The sequence below is a fragment of the Homo sapiens genome, chromosome 10 (genome assembly GCF_000001405.40).
Source record: "Homo sapiens chromosome 10, GRCh38.p14 Primary Assembly".
Taxonomy (NCBI): Eukaryota; Metazoa; Chordata; class Mammalia; order Primates; family Hominidae; genus Homo; species Homo sapiens.
Window position 1 is genome coordinate 43053106 of NC_000010.11, and position 14547 is coordinate 43067652.

Below are 14547 nucleotides of genomic sequence, written 5' to 3' on the forward strand. Positions count from 1 at the left end.
ACCTTCCTCTCCTCTAGCATTCACATTTTGGAAGGGAGATTTCCACTTAGGCTGTAGACTGTGCCTCCATTTGGGTTTTTCCACTGTCTCCTCAGGATTAGATTCAGGTCACGCATTTTTGGCAGGAATGCTGCAGACCTACTTCCATGCCCTCCTTGACGCACCACACCAGGATGAATGTGGAAGTTTATTCCATCACTGATGATGATATCAACTTTCACTATTTGGTGAAGTCAGTATTCACTGGGCTTCTCAATTAAAAGGTTATTATTTTTCCTTTTGTAACAAACCAGGACTTTTATGGGCAGATACTTTGAGTCTATGTGATTCCGTGTTCCTGCACAAACTTTCACCCTCAAATTTAGCATCTGCTGATGGTTGTTGTCTGAATCAGTTATTCTAATTGTCAAATGATTATCTTTCTAAATTCCACCTACTTTTACTAGCTGATGCTTTATTATACTATAAGGACAAGCTTTTCCTTATCTTTTTATTTCATATCGTTATTGGATGATGAGCTCATGGAGTCTTATTTTATTCAGGGGCCATAATTCATTCCTATCATTCATTCTGATGCCCAGAATGTCCCAGCTGGGCCAATGGGAGCCCCTTTGCTTGGTTCCTGTGCCCTGTAATATGCTTTCCTTGTTCTCTGAGTCCTTCCTTACTTTCAGTGAGATGTTCTAACCTCATTTTTTTTCTGCTCCAGCCCTGGAAACTTTTCTCCAGGGAGCCCTGGTTCCTTTTAGTGGAGACAGAATTTAGAAACCAAGATGTGAGTGCTGGGTGTGCTCATCGTTACTCTAGAATTCCTGAAGGCCTGGGGATGGAGCGCTCTCATTCTCACTTCGGGGAGAGAGCTGATGCAACAGTTTAAGGGGCATTTGGCCATCCTTGTCAAACGTGGCCATGTGCCCATCTGCACACAGACACACCATTTGCAGGAATCTGTTCGACAAAGAGGAGCACACAAGTGCATAACAACAACCCGTGGAAGCAACCAGAGTGTCCATCAAGGTCAGCTAAAAAAAAAAAAAAAACACTGAGCTCCCTCCCTTTCTAAACGACACTCAGCGTACATTGAAAATAATAAGACTGATTTGTTCAAGTTCAAGAATTACTAAAGGAGAAGAAGCAACTAATAGAGTGGCACATGTAATCTGATTTTTAAATACATTTAAAATAAAATGTGTGTGTGTGTGCGCGCGCATGTATCTTATATACATGAGTGTGTTTGTATAGGAAATACTCTGGAAGGACGAAGTCCAAGCTCCCAAGTAATGTTATCGCTCAGAGAGGGTAGTGAGCAGAGGTATGGAGGCTGGTAATACAAGCAGAAAATTATAGTTTTTATTTCATAAACTTCTGAACTATTTGAAGACTTTATAGCAGCCATATAGTTCCTCTATCTGTAATATTTTTTAAAAGTGTTAAAAGACAATAGGCCAAAAACGACAGCCGGCTCTCTAGCCTACAAAACTGGCCAGCACTGTTGAAATATACTAAAGTAGTTTTAAAAATAAAGAGAAAGGTACTCACCAGAAGTGGGATCAATCGGCCTTGGAAGCAGAGGAAGAAGAGAAGGAAGAGGAAACCTTGGCAGTGTTTATTGTACCTGCCCTGGAGCAGAGGTGGGGCCCTGGCCCATCTTGGTTCTCTGTGAAGTGGCCCTGCAGGCTCTTGGGGACATCCCCAGGCTCTTGGGAACATCCAGCTCCCCAGCTCTGATCCTACCCACCACTGGCTTCCCCTGAGTGGTCCACAGGGGGAGAGGATGTAGTGGCACCAGCCATAGGACCAGAGGTCCCTGACCTGGGCTGTACTGCTCTTCCTCAACTTCTGATCATATAGATGGATCCGCACGTGGTCAGGAGGATGGATTCTGGAGTCAGACTTTCTGAATTCACACCCTGGCTCACCGCTCACTGACTTGGAACTTGGAACATGGCAATTTCCCCCCTACCCAACCTCTCTGTGCCTCTCTGTGCCTCAGTTTCAACATCTGTAAAATGTCCCCATACAGTTGTTGGAAAGGTCAAATTAGTAAATATGCCAAGTGCCTAGGACAGTAGCTAGGATGTAGTAGACTCTCCAAAACGATTGTTTGTGATATTATTCCTAGAAGTCACAGTGGGCACACCCTTCTCTTTTTTCAGAATGTAACAGGAATGAGGCCAGGGTTTTACTCTTAGGTGTGATATTCCTGATCGTTTGCCATAGTGGTGTGTATTCGCTAGGAATGCTTTCAACTGCAACAGTTCCAAACATAGCAGCTTAAACAAATAATGTTTTGTTTTGCCTCCATTTACAAGAGGCCTGCCAGTAGGCAGCTGCTGGCCTGGGTTCAGCAGTTCAACCCCGTCAGAGCTTTGTCTATCTTTCATGCATTCTGCCTCAGGGTTGCAATATGGTTGCCCCAGTGCCTGGCATCACATCTATCTTCAATGTAGGAAGAAAGGAAATGGAAAGAAAAGAGCTGCATTTGGCTCTTTTGACAAGAAAACAAACCTTCTCAAAATATCCCAGCTGACTGCCACTTAGGTCTCATTTACCAGAACTGTGTCATTTGACCACACTTAGTTCAAGAGAGGCTGGGAATATATTTAGACTTTTAGCCTCAATAGTGCAGATCTCAAGGGAAAGGCGGTTGGAAACAGCCTCATGGAGCTTGCCACTATTTTCTTTATCCCATTAAGAAGATCCGTATGGCCCATGTTTGAGTGACATGTGTTTGAGTGAGGAATGGTTGGTGGCATACACCAAATGTTTTCTCAGCAGAGGGACCATCCCAGTGTCTCTATCCCGCTCCTACTCTAGGGGTCCAATTAAATGGAGTCCCACCTATTATGAAGCAGCAGCAGGGGAAATTCATCTGTGGGGGCAGCTGGGAGCTCCAGGACTTAGCAAACCTGACAGCCTGTGCAGACCAGGATGCAGGGCTTCCAACCCCAGCCACCTCCCTGCCGAAATGGCCACCACTGCCAGCTCCAGGTTGCTGGAGGAAGCTGGAGGCTGCCAGTTTGCTAGCTCCAGGCTTTGACAGCAAGGGCATCTCTGGTCAGTGCCTCCTGGATTGTTCAACCTGTTTCCATCTTCCAGGCTCTCAGGAGCACTGGGCAGTGCAGTGGGGTGGGGGCTTGGGAGCTCCCATGTGTGACAGACACAGCTCCCAGCTTCCCTTCACATCCGCAATGCAGGCCTGGCTGATGGTATCTAGTTCCTGAGACCCTGCAGTGAACTCAGATCCCAGATACTTTCCCTTGATAACAGCTTCACCTTTTTCATCTCTTTTAACAAATACCAACTCCTGGCTGAAACCCAGACTCCTGGCTGGATACCAAGTCCTGGCTGAAAACCCCTTGCTGCTTCCCAGAAACAGCCTGGTCTGACATGGTCAGTGGAGAAGAGAGTGGGCCTGGTGCCCACAGCCACTTACTGCCTTCTCTGGGCCCCAGTTCCTCCTGGTGAAATCGAGAGGGTGGGTAGGATGCTTCCTGGCTGCCCCCTCTGTGCACAACTGGTGGCTGTGGGTCCTGGTTGCCCCTCTGTGCACACTCTGTGGTTGTGAGTCCTGGCTGCCCCCTCTGTGCAAGCCCAGTGGGTGTGGGTTCTAGTCACCCCCTCTGTGCACACCCGGTAGCTGTGGGTCCTGGTTGCCCTCTCCGTGCACACCCCCTGATGTGGGTCCTCATTGCCCCTCTGTGCACACCTGGTGACTGTGGGTCCTGGTTCCCCACTCCGTGCACACCTGATGGCCATGGGTCCTGGTTGCCCCACTCTGTGCACACTCAGTGGTCACGTGTCCTGGTTGCCCCATTCTGTGCACACTCAGTGGTCATGGGTCCTGGTTGCCCCACTCTGTGCACACCCAGTGGCTGTGGGTCCTGGTTGCCCCACTCTGAGCACACCCAGTGGCTGTGGGTCCTGGTTGCCATCTCTGTGTACAACCTGTGATTGTGGGTCCTGGTTGCCATCTCTGTGTACAACCTGTGATTGTGGGTCCTGGTTGCCCCTCTGTGCACACCCATCTTGCTCCTCATCTGGATGAAGTCACTGCCCATGGTGGCCTCATGCAGCCTGTGATGCTGGGCTCTCACTTGCTCCACTTTCCAGATGAGGAAACTGAGGCTCAGAAAAGCTGTCCCTTGCCTGGATCTGAGCCTGGTCTTGCAGCCCAGAGCTCTTGCCACCTGGCTGCACCCCTGGCAGTGACCAAAATTGTTGGTCCCGACCCAGACCTCAGAGGGTCAGTGAAGAGTGTCCTGGGTTGGCTTCTCCTCCCCTCTGCAAATCCTCTCAGCCCACACTCTTTCAGCTTCTCACAGACCACATGAAATAATGTGATAGATGCAATATGAGATTAGGAGCTGAACCTCACCCAGGTCAGGAAATTCCAAGCGCAGTCTCCCAGCTCAGCTCTGGCTCCCGTATGCTGCCCCCAGGTCGCAGCGGGGTGTGCAGGGGACCATTGCAGGCTGCAGGGGCACCTGCATCCTCTAGAACTTCCTGAAGACCAGACGCTCTGATTTTCCAACCAGCACCAGCCCAGTCATTTCCCTCTGCCTCCCTGGGGACTGTCCCAGCCGCCATCCCTTGCTCCTGCCTCCCTGGGGACTATCCAAGCCACCATCCCTTGCTCCTGCCTCATGCGGGTTTCCTCTCTAGCCAGATCCTCCCCGTCTGTATCCAAAAATACTGTTACTTCCCTGTCCTTAAGACAGTGTGTTTGACTGCTTTGCTTGTTTGTTTGCTCCTCTTGATGGTAAAACTGCTCCAGAGATGTGGCCCCATCTGGGGTTGCCCCACTGAAGCCCTCCACAGAGACTTTGTGACACCTGACCACTAACCTCACCTCGCTAAACTGAGGCAGAGCTTGGCAACAGTGGTGACTCAGTGGCTCAGCCCTCCTCTTGAAACACCATCCTCCCGAGTTCCAGGACCCCTCTGCCAGGCCCCTCCCTCCTTCTCCATCCCCCACACCTCCCCCCATCTTCCCGTGGGGGGACCCAGTGCTCGTCTCTATTCACACTCTACAGACTCCGCGTGACACCAGGCCCCACCTCTGCACCCTCCACCTCAAGGATGGATACACCTTCCGGGCTGTACCCGTGAACCCCAGCCTCCAGGTCTACCCAAAACCTGCTCACCATCACCTTCTCAGGTACAAAAACAGCCCTCTTCCCTCACACCCCCACCGCCCAACCTGTGGTCTACCTTGGAAATAAACCTCACACCTCTGGTCATCTCTACTGCCACCCCACTCCCCACCCAAACCACTCAACAGCCACCTGGACCTGGGAACATGGCAGCTGCTGGAGGTCTTAAAGGCGCCCTTTCCCTAAGGTAAGCTGAAGCCCAGATGCCAGCACAGCCCCTTCTCCTCTCTGCCCTGGTCCCCACCTCCTCTCACCCCCTCACTGTACTCCAGTGCCCTGGTCTCCTGAGCACCCTCAAACACATGTCCCCAAATCCAATTCCGCCCCCAGGTCCCATGATTCCCTCTCTTCCTTCTACAACTCATTTCTCAAATAACTCCTGCCCTGCTATCCCATCTTAAACCGCACCCACCCTGGTGTTGGTTAGCCAGTGCTGAGGAACAAATCAGCCCAAACCTTAGGGGCTTCTGAGAACATTACAGTCTTAGCTTCTGCGGGTCAGGAGCCTGGGCATGGCTCACTGCCACGTCCCCCACCCCCAGCCCAGGGTCTCCCATAGGCTGCACTCAGGGTCCACTGGATCGGGTCATCTCAGGGCCGGGTCCACCTCAGGCTCCCTTACAAGGCAGGAATGGGCTCCCTCTCAAATTGTAGCAAGGGCTGCCCCAAGTCCCTGGCACACGGTCCCCCAGAGCGCTGCTGAGGACATCGAAGCAAGCAAGGCAAGAGAGGGAGCAGGCACCAGTGAGACAACCCACAGGCCTCTGTCAGACGGGGGCCTTGGGGGTGGCAGCCATCCCTTCTGCCTTTTCCATCCATTAGAAGTAAGTCCTGGCCCAAGCAGCCTCTGGGGAAGGGCAGCTCAAGAGTATGGCCCCAGCAGTGGGCGTGAAGCTCTCCTCCCCACTGCGAGCTTCTCACTCCCCACGTAGGCGGCTCCAGTGCCCAGCTCTTTGTCTGTCTCCTTCAAGGAGAATGCAGGCTCTTGAGGGCAGGGCACTCCCTGTCGTCCCAAGCTTCATCCCCACCACCTGCCCTGTCACAGCATCAGCACAGCTCACAGCAGGTGCTGAATAAACACTCGTGAACTTCAGAAAGCCCCTCACAGCACAGGAGGAGAAATGGCCATCCTCCCCAGAGACTTCGCTGGCATTTTCCTATGTTACAGCCTGATCCTAGGACCCACTGAAGGCTGGTTTCTGCAGGAGTGAGGAAGCCTGGGTGTGAGCCCCTGAAGCTGGGGCCATACTGGTTATCTCGGCCCAGCGGCCTGGAAATCACACCCTCCCCAGACTTGTCCCCACATCTGAGAGGAGAGACACATCGCAGAGCCTGGCCTCGAGGTCTCAGGGGTCCCATAAGGGGGTGGGGCTAGGTTCATTCTTTTACATATGTTTTCAAATATTGCTAAAAGTCATAAATTGGGCCAGGCATAGTGGCTCAGGCTTATGGTCCCAGCACTCTGGGAGGCTCAGGTGAGAGGATCTCGAGTCCAGGAATTCGAGGCTACAGTGAGCTGTGATTGCACCACTGTGCTCCAGCTTAGGTGACACAGACCCTGTCTCTTTAAAAAATCATAAATTGTTAGACATACTTTTGGGGAAGTCGTTTGGTACACACTCCTTGACCAGTATGTCCAGATCCTGGAATTACTGATTTTTTTCTATAGTCACACATGAATGCAGAGATGTGCAGTGCAGCTTTGTCTATAGGAGCAAACAAATAGAAAAGCTAGATGTCCTCGAGTAGGAGTGGATGAATTATTACAGCACAGCCCCACGGTGGAACACTGCACAGCCACTGGAGTCCCAGGCAGAGCCGCATCTGGGTGCATCACCATCTACCTCTTTATGTAACCAGCAGACAGCTATAGGGCCTGCACCTTCCGAGCACTGGAGGCAGGGAACCGCATCGCTGCCTTCAGGAACTTTATGTCAGGGTTAATGCCAACATGCAAATAAGAATGCAAACACACAGACAAATGCAGCTATCACAGGGGTGTAAGGAAGGCAGAGCAGGACAGGGAGATTGGGAACATGTTTCACACAGCAATCCGGGTGGCTGCGCAGATGCCAGGGCACAGTGAGGGAGAGGCTGCAGCAAGCTGGGGCCGGCCCCTCCCAGGCAGGAGGAATGGCCAGGCAGGGCAGGTGGGGGTGAGCCAGGGTGAGGAGGATCCTGTGGCACCTGGCAGCCACACTGGCATTCCATACTGATCTGTGTTACAACACAGGCACCCACCTATCAGAGCAGCCTGGGCCACTCGTTGCCAGCTGCAGACAAGGGTCAGGCTAACTGGTGCTGATAAGACACCAGCCCCCATGCACCTGGTGTGATAGGGCGTTGCTGCCTGCCAGTGTCACTCTGGAGCAGATCAGCAGGGGTGAGGGCAAGGGCAGGGGCCGGGAGGAGGCTGCATGACCCAGGGTGGGGAGGCCGACCTAGAGAAGCAGAGTGGGGCAGGTCGGGGAGACAGATATTCTGAGGGGCCCAGGACCTCCACGTTCTGAGACGCTCCGCACACAGCTTCTGGAAATGTTATGTGGAATGAACCATCATCTGGTCTTTCCCTTCTTTTTTTTTTTTTTTTTTTTGAGTTGGAGCCTCGCTCTGTCACCCAGGCTAGAGTGTAGTGGCATGATCTTGGCTCAGTGGAACCTCCACCTCCCAGGTTCAAGCAATTCTCCTGCCTCAGCCTCCTGAGTAGCTAGGATTACAGGTGTGTGCCACCACACCCAGCTAATTTTTGTATTTTTAGTAGAGACAGGGTTTCACCTTGTTGGCCAGGCTGGTCTGGAACTCAACCTCAGGTGATCCACCTGCCTCGGCCTCCCAGAGTGCTGGGATTACCGGAGTGAGCCACCATGCCTGGCCTTTTTCTTTCATAGACCTTTGAGATTGCCGAAGTCCCTTCCAAGACTCAAATCTACTGGCTCGGATACAGGACATGGGCATTTGGAGTAGACCTCCACCCAGACACAGGAAAGTAGCCCCCCATCTCCGTCCTCACTGGGGTCCACTTGGCAACCCAGCCCAGCACTTGGACACGGATGGCCTACTCTGCCCCAGTGCAGACAGCTCCAGGTACCAGGTGCTCCTGAGCCCTGGCCACAGGTCAGACCCCATTCTGAGAATGGTCAGAATCCAGAGAGAGGCCTCAGGTCCTGTGACCCCGAGGTGCTGACCAAGGACCTCGCATGTGTCTGGCAGCATGCTGGGCCTCACAGGAGGAAAGGGGGCCCTGGGCCCTTCATGTACATTGCTGCAAGGTGGGCGCTGTCATGTGACGGGGAGTGTGGAGGCCTCGGGTGGCCCACAATAGGCAGTGGGAGGACAAGGCCAGGGCCCAGCGCCTGCAATTCTCCATCACACCCTGTGTGCTGAGCAGCCATCCTTCACCCTCAGGCTCCTCCTCGTGGGGGCACAGGGGACCCTGGCTCGGGGAGTCCATCACTTGCACAGGTGTCACAGGCATAGAAGTCCAAACTCAATGGATGCCCTTGCCTCCAGCTCCCAGCTGAACATCCTGGCTGAAAGGGGCTGACCGCCCTGACTTTCCTCTGAGGTAGGTGAGCTCTGGGGGCTCCATGAGGGAGGTGGCTGTGTCCAGGCCACACATCCCTCTCCACCAAAGCGTCTGCCCTGATGACATCACCTCACACCGCCAAGCCATTACTCACAGAATTACGGCTTGTCTGGAAGTTGGATGAGATGTATACAATGCACCAGGATGACAAATCCTCCCTTTGAGTGGGTCATTTCCCGAAGGAGATTCCAAGGATTCACAGATCAGCGTATCCTGGCATTGCAGGCAGTGGAAGCCGAGGCCCCTGAGATGTGTCTGGGTCTAGTCTCGCTGTGCTAATGAGGCCCCAGGGCCAGAGTGGACACTGACGTCCCTGTGGGGCAGTGCCACATGATCACATCCATGTAGTGAAGAGGCATTCTGGACTTTGTCCCTAACTCCTGGTGGTGAACCATCTTTGGAACCTGATCCCTGGGCCCAGACTCCCTGGTGGGTCTGACCTCTAGCCCACAGCACAGCAGGTTGCAGATCTCATTGTCCAGAAACAGCCACAGCAATATTTCTGTGTTCCTCCAGGATCTGGCCACCACTCATTGAGAGGCAGAGTCTATTTCTCCTCTCCTTGAAACCAGGGGTGCCTTCACAACTGCTGAGATGAAGAGGAGAGAGGGTTTTAGGTGACTTCCGATGATGGGTCACAGACAGTAACGTGACTCTGGCCACCACATTGTAAGGAAGCCCAGCGGTCCCGGCCCACAGCTCCAGCAAGGGAGCTGTTAGTCAACCGACAGTCAACAACAGCCACCAGCCACCAGTTGCATGAGGGGAGCTCAGTGTTGCCAGCCCCAGCCCGCAAGCCGCCTGCCCTAAATGAGACAGAGCTGAGCAGAGACAAGCTACTGCACGGAGCGCTGCCCGGATTGCAGACTCAGGAGCAAGGCAAATGATGGTGTTGCTTTAGGACACTCAGCTTGGGGGTGGCTTCTCATTCAGCGCTAGACAGGGAGAACACACCCTAGGTGATTCCCCGGCCTTCCCTGGGACTTCTGTGTCTGCAGATCCCTGGTGCAGATCCCAGGCAGGCAGAGGGCCAGAGCCCATCTGCAGTGATGGTTCTGCATACTGGGCGGGCTCCGATGGGTCGAGAACAGCTCCTTGGGCCTGGGGGCAGGACTCAGAGCCACATTCACGGCTGCAGGAGTCATGGATCCGTGGCCACCAGGGTCTGTGACAGGGAAAGCGCTACAGGCTGGAAGCCCTGTCTGGGGTTATCTATTTAATGGGAGATAAAGTTTTCATAGTACTAAAAAGTATTAGTCTTCAGAATTAGATATTTGCTCATTTTTCCAAAGGCTGTGAGGTCTCTGAATCCCTCCTGCAGATCTGTGGCAAGCTGTGCACTGTCCTGTAGAGAAATGGCCCTTTCTAGATCTCCACTCTAAAAGCAGCAATAACAGGACGATGCGAGAGCAGAGCCTGGCCCCAAGCAGCGTGGGTCCCCAGGCATTAAGGATCCTCTGCAATGGGTTTCATTAGATGAGTTGTCTTTGGTTTTATTAAAATATGTATGCCCTTTTTATTAAGGCAGTATTGACCTGTGACCATGTGGGAGGACAAGCCCATGCCCCAGTCTCTGGCTGGAGGGTGTTGCCCCCTGGGCCTCCACAGGCTTCCTGATCAACCACCCTGCCATCCATGGGCACAGAAAACATCACCAGGACAGCAACAGGGGGAAGGCAGAGTGCAGCTCCCACCACGCCGTGGTCCTTGGGGTCCTCAGTTGGAGATGAGGGCTGCAGCTCCCCACCTAGGTCACAGCCCATGCCCCTCTATCCCAGCAACCACTGGACCAGCCTCTACCAAGGCCACCACCAAGACAGCACCAGGCCACCTTCCCACCAGTCAGCAGCTTCCTCTCAACCTCTATTCGTTAGTAAATAAATTCTGATTCATGAAGCCATAACAAAACAAACTAAACAACAAAAAAACCTATCTAAGACACCAACATCCCTGAAAAACAAACAAACCAAACAAACAAACAAAAAACAAATGGTGCTCTGCATTCCCTAAAGTGAATTCCTTTGCAATGTACATGAGTTGCTGGGGCTGCTGTAAGGAAGGGCCATAGACTAGGTGGTTAAGTTTACTGCCCCCCAGTTCCAGGGCTGGAAGTCTGGGATCAAGGCCTCCAAGGGCCACCCGCCCCCTTAGGGTGCTAGGGAAGGGTCTATTCCAGCCTCTCCTTACTCATAGACAGCTGTGTCTCCCCACGTCTCTCCTCATGGTCTCCCCTCTGTGTGTCTATTGGTGTCCAAATTTCCCTTTTATAAGGATACCAGTCATACTGGATCAGGGCCCACCCTAACGACCTCATCTGACCTTGATTACCTCTTTAATAACCTTAGCTCCAAATACAGTCGCATTTTAAGGTCCTGGGGCTTAGCACTCCAGCATGGGAAGTGGGGCCTGTCCTGAGTCAGCCCAGGGTGGGCAGTGGGTATGGGAGTTGCCCAGGCTGCTCAGAGCAGGGCACACAAAGGAGGCAGCAGCAAAGAAGCACTGGGAAGGGCTGGTTCTCCCATCATCAGGGACAAAGGACTGAGCCCCCCAACACCAGCTAGCCCTGCGGGGATTTTGCTGGGAGCTGTAAGACCAGGGTCCAGCAGAAGCAGAGGGCACACGAAGGGGGCAGGGACTGGGGTTTCCTGTAGGGGCAGAGGTGTGGGCAGTATGGGGAACCCCCAGGCCTGGAGAGAGGCTGACCCAGCAGGAGCTCAGGGGATGGTACTGGACCTCCAAACCTGGCTGAGAAAGAGGGACTTGGGTGTGGGGGTGGGGGTCACCGGGGCCTTGCCAGGAGGGGGCAGGGGATAAACACACTGTCCTCCCCTTGCTGGTCTCCCCCAGGGCCTCCAGGTGGAGGGACGGGTGGCACAGTTCAACCGCCCCCACCCCTCCGCCATCCCCCTTCTGCCCCATGTGGTGTATGCACAGGATGGGGCAGAGCTGAGCAAGCACAGCTCCTAAAGAGGAGGGCAGGAAACTTGCTGCTCTTACAGCCCTGCAGCCGCGGGGAGGCTTGATGCTCCCAGCAGGGGAAAGCAGAGAGGCAGCTCAGGCATGGCCAGCAAGGGCTTAGACTTACAACTCCTTGAGGGCATCAGCAGCACCTAGACTGGGGATGGCAGAGTGAACAGTGGCTCAGGCGAGCTTCCCCGAAGTGGGGAGTGCGGGCCCATCATTCTCACAGAGCCACAGTGGTGGTGGATCACACAAAGGGGAGACCATGAGGAGAGACATGGGGAGGGGACAGCTGTCTACAAGCAAAGAGAGGCTGGAACACACTCTTCCCTAGCACCTTCAGTAGGTGGGCAGCCCTCAGAGGCCTTGATCCCGGACTATCAATGCCATGAGCATCTCCAAGCCCAGGCCCCGGGAGGGGGCCCCACTGCATGGGCCTCAGACAGCTTCTGACCAGCCAGCCCCACCCTGCCCCACCCTTACCTGCCCTCTCCTTCCCTGGAGAAGCTTGATGAGAGGGGCCCTGGGCCAGGCCTCTGGAAATCCTTCTGCTGCAGGCCTAGAGCTCACCAGGGTGGAAGAGGGAGGGGATGGGATAGCCCAGATGGGCCCCTGCTCCCAGCAGCCTCCCCACCCCCTGAACACTCCCCTCCACCCCACCTAGCCGGGCAGGCCCAGCTGGCCCCATTTCTCATTACTATTGATTATGGTGGCAGAGACCTGCAGCACAGAATGTAAATCAGCATCCCTGGGGTATTTAACCTAGGAAGGGTTAGGTGGAGGTGGCATCCCTTATAAGTCCTGCATCTGATGTTTTTATATTAATTCCTATAGTGGCCAGATTAATTTTTATTCCACTGACTATTATCTCTTCTTCATTGACTAGGAGACATTTCTGAGAAGTGCATATGTGTTGAGTATCAGTCATTTAGTGGGGGGCTTCCCTGGCTGCAAGGTTTTCATTAAAGAAGGAAAATTCCTTTGCTCCAAAGACTCAGTCTGGAAATAATGCGCAGGCCAGCTGGTGTCACTGCCAGTGCTGCCGTCACCTGGGAGTGGGGTCTGCAGCTGCCTGGGAGCCTCAACTAAAGGGGCAGGGCCCCCTAGCCGTCCCTCATCCTCCCTCTCCTCCCAGCCTCCCAGGCCCAGCTTTGGCCTCACACAGGCTCTGAGTGAGCCTTCAGCAAGTGACCACCCCCAGCTCCTCAGCCCTTGCTCTGTGCTGGGGCCTCCCCTCCCACATCTCACAGAATCCGTGCCCCGACTCGGAGTGAGGTGGGACTGTCACTGCAGCCATTTTGCAGGTGAAGGCAATGCACTTGCTATAGATTCCCTGACACTCAGTACTGTACAGGGTCATGGATTATCTTGGGTGGGATCCAGGCCTAGATCACAGAAATGACCACCCTTTTTGATGGGGTGGCAGAGGCACTGGATGGGTGGCTTCCAAGGGCTCCGGGCCTTGCATGAGGAGTCCAGCTGAAAAAACGGGTGTCAGAAGGCCGAGAGCTGTCTGCAAACCCAAGTCTCTGCAGAGTGTGGTGTGGTGTGTTCTAGGAGCGTCCTTCCCCGCTGACCAGTAAGGCCAGGGCCAGGGGCATAAGTCCAGGGCACTGAGGCTGGGAACAGAGAGGAACATGGGGAGGAGGATGGAAGGGGGGCTCGGCAGCTCCGGGGATGCCTGGCCAAGCTGGACATGCTGCCAGTAGGTGGGGGAGTGCCTCCACTCTGAGACCCTCACCTGTCCCTCTCCCATCCTACAGGGTTGAGAGGAGTGGATCCCAAGTGTAGGCCCAAATGTGGAGCCAGCAGCAACCCAGCCACTGGGAGCTCATGGCAAGTGTACACCCCGGCCCACACCCCACATCCCACCCTGGGGCCTGGTGACCAGCCTCCACTGGCGCTTGGGAACCATGAGCAGGGTGGCTCAAGGGCCCCAGAGAAGAAACACCTGAGCTGGAGCCTCAGTTAGCTCACCTGTAAGATAGGGATGTTGCTGCCACCTGGGGATGCTGTGAGCTGAGTGAATTGGAGGGGCCAGTCCTGGGCTGCCTACTTGCCCACATGGTAGGGAGGATCTCCACCAGCTGTTCTCACCCCCCAAAAAAGAGGGCTGCCTCTTTGTCCAGAAGAGATGATTCAGGGACCAAAGCTTTACCTCCCTGAGGGATCTCATTCAGCCTTTCTTCCAGGGGCCAGACATGCATAACTAAAACCCAAACCTTTATGATTTGGAGAACGCTGATAAATTACAAATGCAAATGGGTAACCAGGCAACAGCCCCCCCCGCCTGATGCCAGGCTGGGTATCAGGGCTGGGAAATAGAGCAGAGGTCACTTCCTCCCACCTGGCACAGGTCACGAGAGCCTCAATGATGTGTCCTTTACAAAGCTGCTTTTATTTAGTTGGAAGCTGCTTCAGAGACAACTGTGAAGACAAAAAAGGTTGCTGTGTGTGGTGGCTAAGACATCAGCTGCATCTGAGGGGCTGGATTCTGCAAGGAAATAAACTATGAGGCAAGAGAAAGGCTTTAGAAGATCCTCCAACTGTTCTCATCGTTCTGTTAGCTGGTCTCCTGATGAGGTTCTGGGTGAGTCTCAGGGGCTGAGGAGGTGAGTTCAGGCCCCTAGGAGAAGAAGGAGGGGGGAAACATTTCCCTTCCCAGTGTGGGCCTTTCTACACCTACCCCTCATTTACAGCCTGGGATGAATCCACCAGGGCGGCTGTTCACACACAACCCTGTCCTGACCCCGTCCCAACCCCGTGCGCACCACCTCCCACCCAGGAGGGTGCCTAGGTCCCCATGAGTGCAGGGCTGGGTGGGTGAGGGTTTGAGGCAGGCCC

General features: G+C 54.0%; 3 annotated features.

Moving 5' to 3' along the window:
* Positions 3337-5336: an enhancer, noted in NCBI's record as "VISTA enhancer hs2498". NCBI's record gives its function as "enhancer in: dorsal root ganglion[6/5] | other[5/5]" and the evidence as "EXISTENCE:transgenic organism evidence [ECO:0001131][PMID:17130149]".
* Positions 9066-9567: an enhancer, noted in NCBI's record as "H3K4me1 hESC enhancer chr10:43557619-43558120 (GRCh37/hg19 assembly coordinates)". NCBI's record gives its function as "activates a minimal SCP1, AML or CMV promoter by ChIP-STARR-seq in naive H9 embryonic stem cells {active_cell/tissue: H9 hESC(naive)}" and the evidence as "EXISTENCE:reporter gene assay evidence [ECO:0000049][PMID:30033119]".
* Positions 9568-10067: an enhancer, noted in NCBI's record as "H3K4me1 hESC enhancer chr10:43558121-43558620 (GRCh37/hg19 assembly coordinates)". NCBI's record gives its function as "activates a minimal SCP1, AML or CMV promoter by ChIP-STARR-seq in naive H9 embryonic stem cells {active_cell/tissue: H9 hESC(naive)}" and the evidence as "EXISTENCE:reporter gene assay evidence [ECO:0000049][PMID:30033119]".